Source organism: Homo sapiens, chromosome 2 (genome assembly GCF_000001405.40).
Source record: "Homo sapiens chromosome 2, GRCh38.p14 Primary Assembly".
Classification (NCBI taxonomy): domain Eukaryota; kingdom Metazoa; phylum Chordata; class Mammalia; order Primates; family Hominidae; genus Homo; species Homo sapiens.
In genome coordinates, this window is record NC_000002.12 from 73,435,408 (window position 1) to 73,455,938 (window position 20,531).

Below are 20,531 nucleotides of genomic sequence, written 5' to 3' on the forward strand. Positions count from 1 at the left end.
TAAAGTTATATTCTTAGTGATTACTCTGGGGCTTATAATATTTATCTTATCAGAATATACTTCTGATTCAATTTATACTAACTTAATTCTAGTATGGTACAGAAACTTTACTCCCGTATAGCTCTATTCCCTCTTTTTTTTTGGTGCTATTATTGTTATACATACTACTCACACACGTATATAAATGCCTTTAAGTTTTTGTTTTTTTTTTTAGTCGGGGACTTGCTCTGTTGCCCAGGTTGGATTGCAGTGGCATGATCATAGCTCACTCTAACCTGAGCTCAAGTGATCCTCCTGCCTCAGCCTCCTCTGTTGTGAGGCCCACAGGTGTGTACCACTACACTGAGCTAATTTTTCAAAAAATTTTTTTGGTAGAGATGGGATCTCACTATGTTATTAGTCTTGAACTCCTGGGCTCAAGCAGTCCTCCCACCTTGGCCTCCTAAAGTGCTGGGATTACACGTGTGAGCCACCATGCCAGCCTGCTTTATATATTTTCAAATTGCTCTTTAAATCAGTTAACAGAATACAGGAAATGAAGTATGTCTTTTTGTAGTTACCGATGTAGTTATTTTTACTAGCACTATTTGTTTTGTTATGAAAATGTTACTACTATCTGGTGTTACTTGTTTTTCAGCCTTTGGAACTTCCTATGTTATTTCTTGTAAGATGGATCTGCAAGTTCCCTGTTTTATGTATCTGGCGTGTTTTTATTTCATCTTTTTGAAAGATAGTTTTGCTGGGCTTGGAATTCTTGGTTGACAGTCTTTTTCTTTTCAGCACTTTGAATATGTCTCTTCACTATCTTCTGGCCTTCATAGTTTTGGATGAGAAGTCAGCTGTTATCTTATTCATGTTCTCTTGTATGTAATTTGTTTTCTCTTGTTGCTTCCAAGATATGCTCTTTGTCTTTCACTTTCAGTATCTTGATTATGATATGTCTCTATGTGAATCTCTGTGTTTATTCTACTTTGAGCTCACTGAACTTGTCAGATGTATAGTTAATATCTTTTGTCTAATTTGGGAAGTTTTCAGCCATCATTTCTTTGAGGATTTTTTCTGCTTCTTTCTCTTTTTTGCCCAGTTATCATCTCTTGCATCACAGTCCACATATATCAGCACCCCTAATCTTGTCTCACTGGTCTCTAAGCCTTTGTTTGTTTTTGTTTCTTCTTTCTTTGCTTCAGTTTGCATAGTCTCTATTCATTTATCTTGATGTTTGCTGATTTTTTTCTTCTGTCTTGTCCATATCTACTGTTGAGCCTCTAGTGAATTTTTCACTTCAGTTACTGTACTTTTCAGCCTTAGAATTTCCATTTTGTTATTTTCTAAGTTCTGTCTTTCATTCTGTATTTGATGTGACTTTGCCATCATACCTATCTTTAATTCTTTAAGCATCCTTTTCTTCCCTTTGAATATGTTTATAATAGCTGCTTTTAATTGTTACTGGCTAAGCCCAATGTGTGTGCCCTCTGAAAGGTAAATTTGCCTATTTTGTTCCCCCTGTGAAGGGGTCACACTTTCTTTTGCACATCTTACTTTTCTGTTATTGTTCTAAACTGGACGTTTTGGATAATATCTTGTTGCAGCTCTGGATATTGATCCCTTCTCTGGGCTGGTAACGTTTGATATTTTTGTTGTTTCGTTATTTAGTGTCTGGTTTGGATTAGTTCTTAATTGCTCACCACCAAGATCTCCATTGTTTTTGTCAGTGTCCTTAGGCTTGAGCTTTTTATGCTCTGTTTCAAACAAAGTCATTCTCCTTATGGAGATGTGTGGAGCTCTCTGTTCTTATGGCTTGCCTCTGCTGGGCAGAAGCTTTGTGGCACTGCTCTGTATCTGGGGGCAGGTTCATTGGTCTACTTCTCTTGGAATAACACACCCCTTCTCTATGATTGTGATGCTGAAAGGGGTAGTAGTTAGTCCCTGTTCTTGGATTGCCTCTCCTGGAGTGGACCCTCACTCCACCTACAAGTGAGCTGGGGGTAGGGATGATTAGAGCTTGGTATTCTCAGGTTGGGATAAATCTTCCACTCTATAAGTGGGGACTGGGTGAAGGTAGGTTGCTTCTTGTGTTGTTTCTTTTTCACTTATTAGCTAACATCAACAGCCAGTGTTCTTTCTTTACAGCCTTTCTCCCATGACATCCCTTCCATTCTGCCTTGTTACTTTATGGATCGTATCTACTGATGTACCCAGTTGTACCATTTTAATTATTTGGTTAAAATGGTACATCTCATTTCTACCAGTAAGATCCTGAGCTCCTCACTTATCTCTCAGAGTAGTATTGTGCTGTATGGGCTGACATTAAAGATTTAATATTATGCACAGTCTTGACATCTGAAACTGCGAGGTCCTCAAAGGGCCTAACCACAAGTTTACCTGCCAGATATGCCCTCTACTCAGTGGAGAGGCTTCCTACACAGCCAGTTCTTCTATCAACGAGACCAACTGTATTCTACCTGGTACTCAACCTCAGATTTCCATCCCATGCTAACCTGTGAAATTATTCAAACAAGCCAATCACACCCTCCTACAGAAATAAAAAAAATCACGCTCTTTTCTTGCTACTACAAGCCTGCCTCCTATGGTTCCTGTTTACTCGTTCTGTTCCCATGTACAATCCCTGTGTGGCCCTGCATGTCCTGTGTCTTCCCCAGCTGTGAGTATATGTGACTAATAAACTACCGTCAGTCTCCTCTGTGCAGTGTTGTATTTAGCCAATCCAGATCTATCAGGCAGCAATCCCTCCCTCATCAATAGGGTGAAGAGGAGGCAAAAGAAAGAAATATTTGTGTCCATGTTTGATTCATATTGTATTGAAATGGTCCCTTGATATTAGTTGCCCTGATTTCTTATTTTTTTATTGGCAAACCTCTGGGTCCTATTTTATAACAAGCAGAAAGTAACTGCCAAGCTTCATTTCAAATTGGCTCCAAAGTATGAGTCAAGATAATTTACATATCAGGTAAAGTAGACACACTTAACATAATTTGAATAGTTTAGATTACAAGATAAATTGGAAACAAGTTTGGATCTGGATTATTGAAAAAGAATCGGTGACACCATTAGAAAGTAGGGTAGTGAATTTAGTTTTGGACATACTGAGTTTGATTTGTCGGGAGATCATTTGGTTTGAAGTGTCTTCAAAGCCAGTTGAACAAATGGGAAATAGGAAATACAAATTTGGAAGATCTTAAATAATTTGTGATTAAAATTATGCCGTAAGAGTAGTTAAGCTTTCTGAAGGAGCATGGGTAGAGAGAAAAGCAAAATGTCAAGGATGGTACCTCATGGAATACAATAGCAGAAAGAGGCCAATAGAAAATATCAAAAAAGACAGATATTTTGTTTAAATTCTTACTCTGATTTAGTTCTTACCTCTTCAGTTTCCATTCCAATTTCTTAGTGCCTTTACTATATCACACTGGATTTTGTTGCACGAACATTTAGGATTGCTTTGTCTTCTTGGTGGATTGATCCTTTACAATTATGTAAGAATTCTCTTTGTCCCTCGTAATTTTCTTTGTTCTGAAGATTATCTTATATAGCCACTCCTATAGAATAGTTCTTTTCTTTCTTCTTCTTCCTCTTCTTCCTCTCCTCCTCCTCCTTTTTTTCTTCTTTTTTCTTCTTCTTCTTCCTCCTGCTCCTCCTCTTTCTTCCTCTTTTTTCTTCTTTCTTCTTTCTTTTTCTCCTCCTCCTCCTCTTTTTTTTTTTTTTTAAATAAAGATAAAGTCTCACTCTGTTGCCCAGGCTGGAGTGCAGTGATATGATCATAGCTCCACAGCCTTGAATTCCTGGGCTCAAGCAGTCCTTCTGCCTCACTCTCTGAGTAGCTAGGACTATAAATGCACACTAATATGCCCAGCTAATCTTTTTTTTTTTGTAGAGACAAGGTCTTGCTATGTTGCCTAGGCTGGTTTTCAGCTCCTGGCCTTTCAAAGCCTGATCCTCCCATCTTGACTTCACAAAGTGCTGAGATTACAGGCATGAGCCACCGTACCCGGCCTTTTTATCTGTCTTTTAGTTTCAACCTTACTATGTCATTATGTTTGAAGTGAATTTTTTGTAGACATCATATAATTGGGTCATTTAAAAAAAATCCTGTCTGCTAATATCTGTATTTTAGTTTGTTTGTTTATTTATTTTGAGATGGAGTCTTGCTCTGTCACCAGGCTGGAGTACGGTGGTGTGATCTCGGCTCACTGCAACCTCCACCTCCCAGGTTCAAGCGATTCTCCTGCCTCAGCCTCCTGAGTAGCTGGGACTATAGGTGCACACCACCATACCAGGCTAATTTTTGTATTTTTAGTGGAGACAGGGTGTCACCATGTTGGCCAGGATGGTCTGCATCTCTTGACCTTGTGATCCACCCGCCTTGGCCTCCCAAAGTGCTGGGATTACAGGTGTAGTTTGTTTATTTATACAATTTATACCTAAAGTTAATATTGGTCTATTATGCCTTAAGTCTGCAATTTTATTATTTATTTTCACTTTATTCCTGTTTCTCTTGTCTTGCCTTACTATGGGTTTCATGAACATACTTTAGAATTTCACTTTAATTTTTAAAAATTATTTATTTATTTTTGAGACAGAGTCTCGCTCTGTCGCCCAGGCTGGAGTGCAGTGGTGCTATCTCGGCTCACTGCAAGCTCCGCCTCCCGGGTTCACGCCATTCTCCTGCCTCAGCCTCCTAAGTAGCTGGGATTACAGGTGTGTGCCATCACGCCTGGCTAATTGTTTTATATTTTTAGTAAAGACGGGGTTTCACCATGTTGGCCAGGCTGGCTTCGAACTCCTGACCTCAAGTGATCCACCTGCCTCAGTCTCCCAAAGTGCTCGTATTACAGGCGTGAGCCAATGCACCCGGCCCTTGGTGTGGATTTCTTTGGGTTTTCCTGTTTGGAGCTGACTTACTTTCTTTAATCTGTAAGTTTATGTCTCATCAAATTTGGGATGTTTTCAGACTTTGTTTCTTTGAATTTGACTCATCTTATTTGCATCATTTGATCGTCTTCTCCCTCTCTCTCGCGTTCGCTGTCTTTCTCTCTCTCTCTCTCTTGCTGTCTCTTTCTCTCTCTCGGCTCACTGAAACCTCTGCTTCCGGGGTTCAGGCAATTCTCGTGTCTCAGCCTCCTGAGTAGCTGGAATCATGGGCGTGTGCTACCACGCCCAGCTAATTTTTTGTATTTTTAGTAGAGACGGGGTTTCATCATGTTGGCCAGGCTGGTCTTGAACTCCTGACCTTAAGTGATCCACCCACCTCAGCCTCCCAAAGTGCTGGGATTATAGGCGTGAGCAACCACAGCCAGCCTTGATTGTCTTTTCTCAGTTTGTGATTTTCCTGGTTCTTAGTGGTAAAAATGAATTTTGATTATATCCTGGACATTTTGGATATTATGTTAGGAGACTTTGATTCCTATTTATAATCTTCTGTTTAGCAGGCAGTTGCTCTATTTAGGTTTTCCATATAGGCTCTGGCCTATTTATGTGGCTGTGATCCCAAAGATAATTTAGTTTTCAGGGGAGTTGCATTCTGGTCTACTTCAGTGGTACCATTGAGGCTCCCACTCAGTCCCTGTTGGTGATGCTTATGTGGGTGGAATGGTCTTCCTCAAGGCCTGCTGGTGCTGTGTGGGAAGGGGGAGATGCTAACCCACAGAGTAGAGAACATTTCCCTGGGCCTGCCCCTGGACCAACTGGTGTCAGTGGGTCACCCACTTGATTCTTGTTGATGGCATTCATGGGGGTAGAAAATGCTTTTCTAGGCCTCCTGATGCATCTAGGTAGGATGCTGGGCCCCTGCGATGGAGAACATTTCCTTGAACCTACTCTCTGGGTTTCTCAATGCTGGTGGACTTCCCATTCAATTTTTGCCAGTGCCACTGGGGAAGGAAAGTGCCTACCTGAGCTGTCTTTTACCACAGGAGAGTTAGGAGATGGTGGACCTAGGTCTTCTTTTGTTACTGGCTAGAGGACAGGGAGATGCCAAACCTGTTGGGACTCTCTGCCTGGTTTTTGCTGGCACTACAGTTCTGGTGGTGCAAGCCTACCTGTTGCTGCTGGGTTGGAGTAGGGTGTGGGGAGATGGGACTGTCTGCTAAGTCTGCTGGGCTGCCCGTTTCTTGGTCCATGGCCCACAGACAGCAGGCTTTTCTTGGACTTCTTTCTGCCCTCCTTTGTTCCCTTTCTCCTTCCCACTATTCCTATTCCTATTCCTATTTCTGGTCTTAGTTCCACACTGCAGGCCTCTCCAGGGTCCAGCCTCAGATATAAGAGAGTTAAAAAGAAAACTAAGGAAGTCATTGCCATGTTGTTCTCCAGTCTGGAGGTCCTTAGCTAGTCTGCGTTTCACTTTCTACCTTTCAGTTTTTTTTTTGTCTTTTGGTTTCTAGGGAAGTGGAGGGAAAAGCAAATTTATATCATTTTGTCAGGGACCAGAAGACAACTGGAGTTTTGAAAACTTGACTTAGATGTGCTATTGTCTTTGGTTGTTGGTAGAAATAATCATATGGGGGAAGTGAGGTAAAGATCTTTCTCAGGCAATATTGAATAAACTCAGGGATCTCAAGCCACAGAAGATGGGGACACCTATGCCATGAAACTTTCCTAACTTTTCTAAAATCTGCAGCCCGTGTCCTGAACTATTAATAATAGCTGACATTTATTGCTTGTTCACATTGCTAAGCATTTTATGTATTATTATTATAATGTATATTATATAATACAGGTTGAGCATCCCTAATCTGAAAAACCACAATCCAGAATGGTCCAAAATCTGGAACTTTTTGACTGCTGACATGATATTCAAAGGAAATACTCATTAGAGCATTTTGGATTTCAGATTTTTGGATTAGGTATGCACAATATGTTCTTTTATCATATTATTATTATGCCATATTGTTTTATATTTTTAATCTGACCTATGATGATGGGCACTGCTATTATTCTATTTGCTATCTGAGCAAAATGAAACTTAGAGTGACTTGCCCAAAGTCCCACTTTCTCTAAGAGGATTTTGATAGCTTCATTCCATATTGTTCTCTCTGTTTCTCAAGTTTTAAATGCCTTTATAACCTTACCATAAACATATCACACCATCAGTTTTTCCAAATTCTTTCTCAGAGAGGGCACCAATTTAATTTCTATTATATACTTAACACTAATCTTGGCATATGATAAAGGCATGAAAGAGTCTCGATGATTGTTTGCTAACTGAAGAGTTCATCAGTTAGTGGTACAGTACTGGCTGCCTCAGCTTGTTTACAGCATCAGGTAGTGACATAGTAGGAAACAATGCTTTGTGCAAGAAAGGATTTTAACTTCTTCCTAGGTAATATCAACACCCAGGGCTTCAGTTATTTCCTATGACTGATGAGTTCCAATTGTAGGACTCTATCTAGATATATCTCATACTCCAAATGTTTGTATCTGACTACTATGAAATGTCTTCATTTGGATGTCCCATAGGTATCTTAATGTCAGAACTTTAAAAATGGAGCCAATCATCTCTTTAAACCTACTCTTCCTTCTCTATTTCTTCTCAGTGAATGAGTGTCTACTTATTAGCCAAGCTAGAAACTTGTATTCTTCTTTCACCCTCATCCCTGCCCAATCACTTAATCTCGTTGATTCTATCAGACTCCCATTCTCTTTTCTGAATTACTGCATTAGTAATGGAAAACTGATCATCTTCTCTGCCACTTATTTTCAGTATTAAGCCAAAATAGTCTGTTTACAGGGCAGACTTGATAATGTCACTTCCTAGTTTGGAGTTCTTGCTTTCCATTGTTAACCTTGGGGTAAATTCTAAACTCCTTAGTACATAGTAGAAGGTCCCTGCTTACCTTCTTAGCCTTATACTTGCCTCTTTTTTCATAGTGAACTACTCTCATTTCTTCATGATGCTAGACCCTCTTGTCTCCTTGATCTCATAGATGCTATTTTCTCTACTTGGAATGCTTCCCTATTTTTTATATGCCCATCTTTGCCTAATTTCTGGTTTTTATCCTTTCATTCTGAGCTTTGCTGTCTTTCAGGAAAATGTTTCTGTTTTTCACTGTTCACCATGACTCTTTAAGAAAGAGCCAGATACTCCTTACATATGTTGCTATAGTATCCTGTAAACAGCCTCCCTAATCACTGCCCTTACACTGAATTTAGTAATTGCTTTTTTTTACTTGTTTCTGTCTCCCACAGGACTTTAAGCTCTTTGAGGGTAGAGCTCGGGCTTTGCTAATATATATATTTTTGCACCTGGCTGTGAAAGCTACTCAATAAATATCTGTTGAATGACTTTATGAATTGATGAATATTAAATGAATTAACATGCCTGGGTAGACTGGGGGAGGGGTAGAATAAGATGGTAGGCTTTGTATTTTGGCAGGGATCAGTTCTCAAGAAAGTGGATCAAATAAATGTAAGTATCATATTTCATTGACTATATGTCAGTTGTAATGAAGGCCTATGGATTAGTGTCTTATCACTATTTTATTGATCTCTGGTTAACATGAGGCTGTCTCTGTGACTTGAATGGCCTATATGTCTTTCTTTATGTTTTTTGGTGGGTATTGGGGTTTATGTTCCCTGCCTCTAAACCTAATTGATTTATCTTTTAGTTTTCCTGCCATAATTTTTATTGACGCCCAGTCTTTTGTTTAACCTTACTACCTTAGGTTGTTATTTGTTGGATATCTTCTCCCTTGAAGATGCAAGTTACTCAGGGCAGGGAGGGAACCTGCGTGTGGCTCAGAGTAAGGGAGGACTTTAGTTTGGGGCAGGACTTTGAAGGGTTCTCTTAAAGATGAGGAGCCTGGAAGCAAGATCTGAAATTACATCTTCTCCTGTCCCAGAGGGAATTTCTTTGAGTAGGGGTGCACCTATCAGGGTGGTTTGATGACTGGGTATTACTATGACCAGGTTATAACTTTCCCAGGGTTATTCTGTTAGGAAATAGTGTTTGGGATTTGATGTTTGAGTACAGAGTTCATGAACTTTTCACAACACCAGCAGTTCATTAGCTTTTTGAAACCTCTGCCCACTTAGGAATGAGGAAGAGTCTATAACGCACTTTACCTAACAATTCCTGCTTTCGCATTGAAAAAGAACTTAGTGATAGCAACAACAAAATTAGGAATTAAATTACAGGCTATAATGTTAGCTCGTGTATGTGATTTTTGTGTTATAAAACAGTGCCCTATTATCTTTTGAAACTAAGCAATTTTATTACATTTAACTTGATTTTGTATTGCAAGTTATTTAAATGGCATACATTTATCAACAGGACAACGTTAATGAATTATCAGTATGCAGGAACTTTGGAAGGGTTATATTTACGTCCACTGTGGTAATAAGGGTATCAAAAATCCTGTTTGAACTGTGATATATTGTGTTAAGTTTAGTTATGAGAGAATATAGTTTAAGATAATGAATGTAGAGATAAACATCTATGAGTTAACTGAGGGATTAACGAAATACAACACAATTATAATTATTTAGTTATCAATAATTAATAATTAGGAACTTATAAAAATGATATAGTAATTAATTAGAAAGCAAGAATAACAACAATGAAGACAAAGACCCATTTAAAATATCACTGGTGTCTTTTTAAAAAAACATGAATTTGAGTTTACTTCTCTGTACACACAATAGGTGCTTTTGCCAGACTTTTTAAAAAAAAATCTTTTTTATTTTTAATATTTATGAGAACATAGTAGGTGTATATATTTATGGGGTACATGAGATATTTTGACACAAACATACGATGTGTAATAATCACATCAAGGTAAATGGAGTATCTGTCACCTCAAGCATTCATTATTTCTTTATGTTGTGAAAATTCCAGTTATACTCTTTTAATTTAAAATGCGTTATAAATAATTGTTGACTGTAGTCACCGTATTGTACTATATCATATTCTAGAGCTTATTCATTCTAACTACATTTTTGTACCCATTAACCATCCTCCTCACTACCTTCCCAGCCCCGTTACAGACTTATTAGTGACTGAATTAGAGGGCTCAAAATGAGAGCTATAGTAATTTATTTGTGTGTGCTAGTATTAAAACCCATAATAATTGACTTGGAACGATTACTAGTAAGAGGCTCTTAGTCATATGTAAAATGGAAGTATGGAATTGTACCTCATTTTGTCTGTGAGAAATAAAGGGCTTGCTTATTCTTCTTATGTCAGAATATACTTGGGGAAATAAAACCGTGCTGTCTTCGTCACCTAGGAAGCCTTCTGTGTTACTAAGCACCTTAGTATGGAGAAGAGTTCTTGAGTAAATTGTACCCAGGTTGTTAGTCTTAATGTCATCTCTAAGAGGCATACAGTTCCCACCCAATATACAACTTTGGTGTAGTATAGTCTTTTCTGGCAGCCATCTTCCTCTTCTTGGTCGAAACTTACCTCTTCAACTCACCCCTAGTTCTGAAAATGAATCTCCAAAGATTATATCAGTATGTAGTAATATTGTTAACACTCACACTTAGTGTATTCTTCTTTCCCAGGGCTGAGAGAATAATAAGGACTCTAAAAACATACCATTTTTCATCATGAACTCCTTATGTACATAGACACATTTTATAAATCATAGTTAATGGATTTGTGATCACCATTCTTCTGACAGTTTGACATATATGTCCTTAACTTTATATAGAACTGACAAGAATTCTTCTTTAACATCGTGCATCTCCTCCCTCGCTTTTAACAGCTTAACCTATAGTCGTTCTTCCAGTTTTCTTTACTAATCTTTTCCTTTACCCCTGAGGTTAAAAAGACCTTATCTTATGTAACCTGGATCTTTCAAGGACCTGGGCTGTACATCTTAACTCCTTAGCTATTTATCTCATTTGTCCCCATTCATGGTGTCACTAATAATTTGTAATGGCCAAAGGGATATAAAAACTTTGAGAAATCAGGAAATCATTTAGAAAAACAAGGTTTTGTTTTGTTAATCTGTTTTGGTTTATTAGCTTCTTGAGCCTGTTTTGTTTCCTCACAAAAACTTTTCTTATTTTCTTTAGACCCAGCAGGCAAGAACCTCACAAAATTTTGTAACTCATATTCCTTCTCAGGTTACAATGCATGTTACATTTTTAAATTTTTTACTTTTCTTGAAGAGTTAATACTTGATACTTCTAGTTCTTTACTTTGAAATTCACTCCTCAACCCATTTCATTCTATATTCAGCTCCTTTGAAGCTCGTCAGTGGCCATAGAAAGCCAGTCAGTTGTAGTGGAAAGAGCTCAGAACTTGGATTTAGAGTTTAAGGGTTAAAGTACCAGTTTTTGTCACTTACCCACCTACAATTCTAGAAAAACTATGTATCTTTGCACTTAAAATGTGGTCTGAGGACCAATAACATTGGGCATCCCTGGGGAGCTTGTTAGAAATGCAGAATTTCAGGTCCCACCCAGACCTACTGAGTCAGAATCTGCAAGTTAACAAGATCCCAACATTGAGAAGCACTGTTACATGGTCATCTTTGCAACTCGGTTTCCCTATACGTAAAAAATAGATAATACTTGCTCTATATATCAATCATCTTAACACCATCTGACACATCATATGTTTTACCAATTTATTGTCAGCCTCCTCCTGCTAGAATACAAATTAGCTCTGTGAGGTAGGGATTATTGTCTGTTTATTGCTGTATGTAGAACAGTGCCTGGAACATAGTAAGCATTCATGTATTTTGAATGAACAATGAATGAAGGGACAGCTTGTCAAATCCTGTCATTTCTGTTGCAGTCACTTACTTTACACTGCTGTTTAAAACTGCTTTCATTTAGAATTATTGTATTAGTGCAAATATAGAACATTTCTATAGAAATGTTTGTTGGATTGTGCAACCTAGATTTTTACATTCCCTTCTCACTCATCTTGAAAACTTTAAAACTGTAAACAACTTGCCATGCTATACAGAATTAAGTTAAAACTCTTCAGAGTAACCTTTAGAGTTTTTTCAGTTTTATGTACTTAAATATATATATATTATACAGGGTGCATTTGTTGGGAGAGTCCTTCAAACTCACTGCACGCATAGCATCCCTCTAGGCCATATTGTACTGCCCCTGTGGGACTTGGGGGCAGGAGGAACCCGTGAAAATAAGCTGATGAGCCTTTGCTGTACCAGGGATCATGAAGTCTTTTGTCTCTGACTGAAGACCTTATGTCTTCTGCCAGCCTGCAAGACACAATAACAGATTGTAAGTAGGGTGAAATCAAATCCTAGACCCAATAGCATTATCCCATCTCATTGAAAATTCTCTTAAAAATCCAAGTTGTAAGATCCATATAATATTTCATCCACTGGATATACTGTTGTTTATAACCATTACTCTGTTGTTGAAGATTAAAATGTTTTTACTTTAGTTTTCTAATTAATATCTTTGTGTGCAAATATTTATCTCCTTTGATGGCTGTTTCCTTAGGATTCATTTCTAGAAGCTTTTTAAAGGCTCAAAGCTGGCTTTTTTCCAGCACATAGAATTTTAAAATAGAAAATTTTATATACTATTAACAAATCTCTTTTTCTTTAGGAGACACTTCTAAAGGAGGCATAGCTAAAGTTACTCAATCCAACTTGAAGTCAGGCATCACTACCACTCCTGTTGATTCAGACATTGGATCTCATTTATCCTTGTCCCTTGAGGACCTGTCTCAGTTGGCTGTAAGTTCTCCTCTAGAAACTACTACTGGTCAACACACTGATACTCTCAACCAAAAGACATTAGCAGATACTCATCTAACTGAAGAGACTCTGAAAGTCACAGCTATTCCTGAACCAGCTGACCAGAAGACTGCAACACCAACAGTACTCTCTAGTTCCCACTCACATAGGGGGAAGCCCAGCATTTTCTACCAGCAGGGCTTGCCAGACAGTCATCTAACTGAAGAGGCTTTGAAAGTTTCAGCTGCTCCTGGACTAGCTGACCAGACAACTGGCATGTCAACTCTAACCTCTACTTCCTACTCACATAGAGAGAAGCCTGGTACTTTTTACCAACAAGAGTTACCAGAGAGTAACTTAACCGAAGAGCCTTTGGAAGTTTCAGCTGCTCCTGGCCCAGTGGAGCAGAAGACGGGAATACCTACAGTATCCTCTACATCCCACTCACATGTAGAGGACCTCCTCTTTTTCTATCGACAGACCTTGCCAGATGGTCATCTAACTGATCAGGCTCTGAAAGTCTCAGCTGTGTCTGGACCAGCTGACCAGAAGACTGGGACAGCAACAGTACTCTCTACTCCCCACTCACATAGAGAGAAGCCTGGTATTTTTTACCAACAAGAGTTCGCAGACAGTCATCAAACTGAAGAGACTCTTACTAAAGTTTCAGCCACTCCTGGACCAGCTGACCAGAAGACTGAGATACCAGCAGTACAGTCTAGTTCTTACTCACAAAGAGAAAAGCCTAGTATTTTGTACCCACAGGACTTAGCAGACAGTCATCTACCTGAAGAGGGTCTGAAAGTTTCAGCTGTTGCTGGACCAGCTGACCAGAAGACTGGCCTACCAACAGTACCCTCTAGTGCATACTCACACAGAGAGAAGCTCCTTGTTTTCTACCAACAGGCCTTGCTGGACAGCCATCTACCCGAAGAGGCTCTGAAAGTTTCAGCTGTTTCTGGACCAGCTGACGGAAAGACTGGGACACCAGCTGTAACCTCTACTTCCTCTGCGTCCTCTTCACTTGGAGAAAAGCCCAGTGCTTTCTATCAGCAGACCTTACCCAATAGTCATCTAACTGAAGAGGCTCTGAAAGTATCAATTGTTCCTGGACCAGGTGATCAGAAGACTGGGATACCCTCAGCACCATCTAGTTTCTACTCACACAGAGAGAAGCCCATTATTTTTTCCCAGCAGACCCTGCCAGACTTTCTTTTCCCTGAAGAAGCTCTGAAGGTTTCAGCTGTTTCTGTATTGGCTGCCCAGAAGACTGGGACACCAACAGTGTCCTCTAATTCTCACTCACATAGCGAGAAATCTAGTGTTTTCTACCAGCAAGAGTTGCCAGACAGTGATCTACCTAGAGAATCTCTGAAAATGTCTGCTATTCCTGGACTGACTGACCAGAAGACTGTCCCAACACCAACAGTACCTTCAGGTTCCTTCTCACATAGAGAGAAGCCCAGTATTTTCTATCAACAGGAGTGGCCAGATAGTTATGCAACTGAAAAGGCTCTGAAAGTTTCAACTGGCCCTGGACCAGCTGACCAGAAGACTGAGATACCAGCAGTACAGTCTAGTTCTTACCCACAGAGGGAGAAGCCTAGTGTTTTGTACCCACAGGTGTTATCAGACAGTCATCTACCTGAAGAGAGTCTGAAAGTTTCAGCCTTCCCTGGACCAGCTGACCAGATGACTGACACACCAGCAGTACCGTCTACTTTCTACTCACAAAGAGAGAAGCCTGGTATTTTCTACCAACAGACCTTGCCAGAGAGTCATCTGCCTAAAGAGGCTCTGAAAATTTCAGTAGCTCCTGGACTAGCAGACCAGAAGACTGGCACACCAACTGTAACCTCAACTTCCTACTCACAACATAGAGAAAAGCCCAGCATTTTCCACCAGCAGGCCTTGCCAGGTACTCATATACCTGAAGAGGCTCAGAAAGTTTCAGCTGTTACTGGACCAGGTAACCAGAAGACTTGGATACCAAGAGTACTTTCTACCTTCTACTCACAAAGAGAGAAACCTGGTATTTTCTATCAACAGACCTTGCCAGGTAGTCACATACCTGAAGAGGCACAGAAAGTTTCACCTGTTCTTGGACCAGCTGACCAGAAGACTGGGACACCAACTCCAACCTCTGCTTCTTACTCACACACAGAGAAGCCTGGTATTTTCTACCAACAGGTCTTGCCAGATAATCATCCAACTGAAGAGGCTCTGAAAATTTCAGTTGCCTCTGAACCAGTTGACCAGACAACTGGCACACCAGCTGTAACCTCTACTTCCTACTCACAATATAGAGAGAAGCCCAGCATTTTCTACCAACAGTCGTTGCCAAGTAGTCATCTAACTGAAGAGGCTAAGAATGTTTCAGCGGTTCCTGGACCAGCTGACCAGAAGACTGTGATACCAATTTTACCCTCTACTTTCTACTCACACACAGAGAAGCCTGGTGTTTTCTACCAACAGGTCTTGCCACATAGTCATCCAACTGAAGAGGCTCTGAAAATTTCAGTTGCCTCTGAACCAGTTGACCAGACAACTGGCACACCAACTGTAACCTCTACTTCTTACTCACAACATACAGAGAAGCCGAGTATTTTCTACCAACAGTCGTTGCCAGGTAGTCATCTAACTGAAGAGGCTAAGAACGTTTCAGCGGTTCCTGGACCAGGTGACCGGAAGACTGGGATACCAACTTTACCCTCTACTTTCTACTCACACACAGAGAAGCCTGGTAGTTTCTACCAACAGGTCTTGCCACATAGTCATCTACCTGAAGAGGCTTTGGAAGTTTCAGTTGCTCCTGGACCAGTTGACCAGACGATTGGCACACCAACTGTAACCTCCCCTTCCAGCTCATTTGGAGAGAAGCCCATTGTTATCTACAAACAGGCCTTTCCAGAGGGTCATCTACCTGAAGAGTCTCTGAAAGTTTCAGTTGCTCCTGGACCAGTTGGCCAGACAACTGGCGCACCAACTATAACCTCTCCTTCCTACTCACAACATAGAGCAAAGTCTGGCAGTTTCTACCAACTGGCATTGCTAGGTAGTCAAATACCTGAAGAGGCTCTCAGAGTTTCTTCTGCTCCTGGACCAGCTGACCAGACAACTGGCATACCAACCATAACCTCTACTTCCTACTCATTTGGAGAGAAGCCGATTGTTAACTACAAACAGGCCTTTCCAGATGGTCATCTACCTGAAGAGGCTCTGAAAGTTTCCATTGTTTCTGGACCTACTGAAAAAAAGACTGACATACCAGCAGGACCTTTAGGTTCCAGTGCACTTGGAGAGAAGCCCATTACTTTCTACCGGCAGGCTCTGCTAGACAGTCCTCTAAATAAAGAGGTTGTGAAAGTTTCAGCTGCTCCTGGACCAGCTGACCAGAAGACTGAGACATTACCAGTACATTCTACTAGCTACTCAAATAGGGGGAAGCCTGTCATTTTCTACCAGCAGACCCTATCAGACAGTCATTTACCTGAAGAAGCTCTGAAAGTTCCACCTGTTCCTGGACCAGATGCCCAGAAGACTGAGACACCATCAGTATCCTCTAGTTTATACTCATATAGAGAGAAGCCCATTGTCTTCTACCAACAGGCCCTGCCAGACAGTGAGCTAACTCAAGAAGCTCTGAAAGTTTCAGCTGTTCCTCAACCAGCTGACCAGAAGACTGGGTTATCTACTGTAACTTCCTCTTTCTATTCACATACAGAGAAGCCTAATATTTCTTACCAGCAAGAGTTGCCAGATAGTCATCTAACTGAAGAGGCTCTGAAAGTTTCAAATGTTCCTGGACCAGCTGACCAGAAGACTGGGGTATCAACAGTAACCTCTACTTCCTACTCACACAGAGAGAAGCCCATTGTTTCCTACCAGCGAGAGTTGCCGCATTTTACTGAAGCAGGTTTGAAAATTTTAAGAGTTCCTGGACCAGCTGACCAGAAGACTGGAATAAACATCCTGCCCTCTAATTCCTACCCACAGAGAGAGCACTCTGTCATTTCTTATGAGCAGGAGTTGCCAGATCTTACTGAAGTAACTTTGAAAGCAATAGGGGTTCCTGGGCCTGCTGACCAGAAGACTGGGATACAAATAGCATCCTCTAGTTCCTACTCAAATAGAGAGAAGGCCAGTATTTTTCATCAGCAGGAGTTGCCAGATGTTACTGAAGAAGCTTTAAATGTTTTTGTTGTTCCTGGACAAGGTGACCGGAAGACTGAGATACCAACAGTACCTTTAAGTTACTACTCACGTAGAGAGAAGCCCAGTGTTATCTCTCAACAGGAGTTGCCAGACAGTCATCTCACAGAAGAGGCTCTGAAAGTTTCACCTGTTTCTATACCAGCAGAGCAGAAGACTGGGATACCAATAGGACTGTCTAGTTCCTACTCACATTCACATAAAGAGAAACTCAAGATTTCAACTGTGCATATACCAGATGACCAGAAAACTGAGTTTCCAGCAGCTACCCTTAGTTCCTACTCACAAATAGAGAAGCCCAAGATTTCAACTGTGATTGGACCAAATGACCAGAAGACTCCATCCCAGACAGCTTTTCATAGTTCCTATTCTCAAACAGTAAAGCCCAATATTTTATTTCAACAGCAGTTGCCAGATAGAGATCAAAGTAAAGGTATTCTAAAGATTTCAGCTGTCCCTGAACTAACTGATGTGAATACTGGAAAACCAGTATCTCTCTCTAGTTCTTATTTTCACAGAGAGAAATCGAATATTTTCAGTCCACAGGAATTGCCAGGTAGTCATGTAACTGAAGATGTGCTGAAGGTTTCAACAATTCCTGGACCAGCTGGCCAGAAAACAGTATTACCAACAGCTCTTCCTAGTTCCTTTTCACATCGAGAGAAACCAGATATTTTCTATCAAAAGGATTTGCCAGATAGACATCTAACTGAAGATGCTCTAAAGATCTCAAGTGCTCTTGGGCAAGCTGATCAAATTACCGGATTACAAACAGTTCCCTCTGGTACTTACTCACATGGTGAGAATCACAAGCTTGTTTCAGAACATGTCCAAAGGCTAATAGATAATTTGAATTCTTCTGACTCCAGTGTTAGCTCAAATAATGTGCTTTTAAATTCTCAGGCTGATGACAGAGTTGTAATAAATAAACCAGAATCTGCAGGTTTTAGAGATGTTGGCTCTGAAGAAATCCAGGATGCAGAAAATAGTGCTAAAACTCTTAAGGAAATTCGGACACTTTTGATGGAGGCAGAAAATATGGCACTGAAACGATGCAATTTTCCTGCTCCCCTTGCCCGTTTCAGAGATATTAGTGATATTTCATTTATACAATCTAAGAAGGTGGTTTGCTTCAAAGAACCCTCTTCCACGGGTGTATCTAATGGTGATTTGCTTCACAGACAGCCATTCACAGAGGAAAGCCCAAGCAGCAGGTGCATACAGAAGGATATTGGCACACAGACGAATTTGAAATGCCGGAGAGGCATTGAAAATTGGGAGTTTATTAGTTCAACTACAGTTAGAAGTCCTCTACAGGAAGCAGAGAGCAAAGTCAGTATGGCATTAGAAGAAACTCTTAGGCAATATCAAGCAGCCAAATCTGTAATGAGGTCTGAACCTGAAGGGTGTAGTGGAACCATTGGGAATAAAATTATTATCCCTATGATGACTGTCATAAAAAGTGATTCAAGTAGTGATGCCAGTGATGGAAATGGTTCCTGCTCGTGGGACAGTAATTTACCAGAGTCTTTGGAATCAGTTTCTGATGTTCTTCTAAACTTCTTTCCATATGTTTCACCCAAGACAAGTATAACAGATAGCAGGGAGGAAGAGGGTGTGTCAGAGAGTGAGGATGGTGGTGGTAGCAGTGTAGATTCACTGGCTGCACATGTGAAAAACCTTCTGCAATGTGAATCCTCACTGAATCATGCTAAAGAAATACTCAGAAATGCAGAGGAAGAGGAAAGCCGGGTACGAGCACATGGTAAGAAGAAAGTTTCAGGCTTATAAACGTTATAGTTTAATAATGTGTTTAAAGTTAGATATTTATGTTTTGAGGAAGCTTAGCCAATGAAAAATACAAGCAAGATCAAGAAAAAAAATGAAGTTAGATATTTGGAGTTCTAAATGTATTTTCCAATAGAATTGTTAGAATGACTATATTTCTTCTAACAATCCATAAAAAGCCTATTTAACCAATAATGTAGTTAAGTTACAGTATTAATAGTACCAGCCTGAGTTTACGTTCTTGTTCTTAGGAGAAGTAGATTCTGATGTATGACAGAGAGTAAAGAGGTCGCTTGGGCTCCTGAGCTCCTAAAGCTATCACGTTTCTCTAATCCTCCCATTATAGTATCCTTATTCTGAAGGCAGAAAGAGCCTCCAATTTGCTGTGCTCTAAATTGCTTTTTGTCCTAAAACTACATATATTTTCTCTTTCCCTTTTCTAATAGAACTCTTGGTGTTGATCTCAGACATTTGAAAAAAAAATCAATGTATTTTATACTAAAACTTGGGTTAGAGGTTTAAAAGAGAATATTTACAAATCTCATTAATTTCTAATAGAATTCCATTAAAAACAAAAATCTGTAAGACAATATGGGGAATATATTTTGGGAGGCAATTTAAAAGCAATTTAGGCCTACCTAGAAATCGTCCCTTGAGGTTAACTTCCTACGCTGTTCCCTGCACATTTTTATTCTACAAAAAAACCTCCAAGTTGTATTTATTACTTTTAAATATCAGCTGTCATGGAATTATGAGTAATTGTAGCAGGAACTAAAGGGAGAGGTAAAGAAACTCATGATTAAAAGGAGGATTAAGATAAATATGATTGATTACCCGATTTAAAGTGGCTTTTTTGTAGAATTATCTATAGAGCATGACTTAAGAAAATCAGACTTTGCAGTGAAAGGATCTCTGTCAAGAATTTCTAATAGGTTGTCATAATTGAGAAGAAGACATACTAAGCATTGCAGTGGGTATTAAATTGCATATATTGATGATCTTCTGTGTTGCAATTGTTGACAAATTATCACTTTTGCATTGTATTATCTCAAGTGTATGCTTTCTCTCCAGCCTGGAATATGAAGTTCAATTTAGCACATGATTGTGGATACTCCATTTCAGAATTAAATGAAGATGACAGGAGGAAAGTAGAAGAGATCAAGGCAGAGTTATTTGGTCATGGAAGAACAACTGACTTGTCCAAGGTATAAAAGAAATCTGGAAATGAAGAAAGTAAATATGAAAGAATGGGTGATGGAATTAGGATCTCTTACTTGGGCATCAGTTGAGTTGCTGATAATATTTGGCTAAAGCCTTTTTTGGTTTTGTTTTTGAGACAGTCTTGCTCTGTTGCCCAGGCTGAAGTGCAGCAGTGCAATCACAGGTCACTGCAGCCCTGAACTCTTAGACTCAAGGAATCCTCCCACCTCAGCCTCTCAGGTAGCTGGGACCACATGTGTGTACCGCCCTGCTCGGCTAATTTTTAAATTTTTGGCAGAGACAGGGTCTCTACGTTGCCCAGGCTGGTCTTGAACGCTTGGATTCAAGCGATCCTCTTGCCTTGGCCTCCCAAAATGCTGGGATTACAGGCATGAGCCACTGTGCCTAGGCAGGCATCTTAATTTTTCAAAAGTTAAGATATAAGTATTAGATTCTTACAGTCTAGATATGTTGTTTTTATTGATTCCAAATTCATATTTTGAAAAATTTATCTTCTTAGAAAAATAAGAACTGATTTGCTTGTTTTATCAATTTTTTTTTTAAGAACAGAGAAGACTAAATGTCACCCTTATTTTCTCTTGAAAGTGGTATCTTGAAATCCAGCTATTTTCAAATGTTTATTTTAAA

At 39.8% G+C, this 20,531-nt stretch overlaps 1 protein-coding gene across 2 annotated transcripts in view; it reads left to right on the plus strand.

Moving 5' to 3' along the window:
* Positions 1–20,531, plus strand: part of ALMS1 (ALMS1 centrosome and basal body associated protein) — a 224,162-nt gene that overhangs the window by 49,650 nt on the left and 153,981 nt on the right. For both annotated transcript variants that reach the window (NM_015120.4, NM_001378454.1), the window contains 2 exon segments: positions 12,553–18,660; positions 19,755–19,888. In NM_015120.4, the coding sequence (NP_055935.4) occupies positions 12,553–18,660; positions 19,755–19,888 (6,242 nt within the window).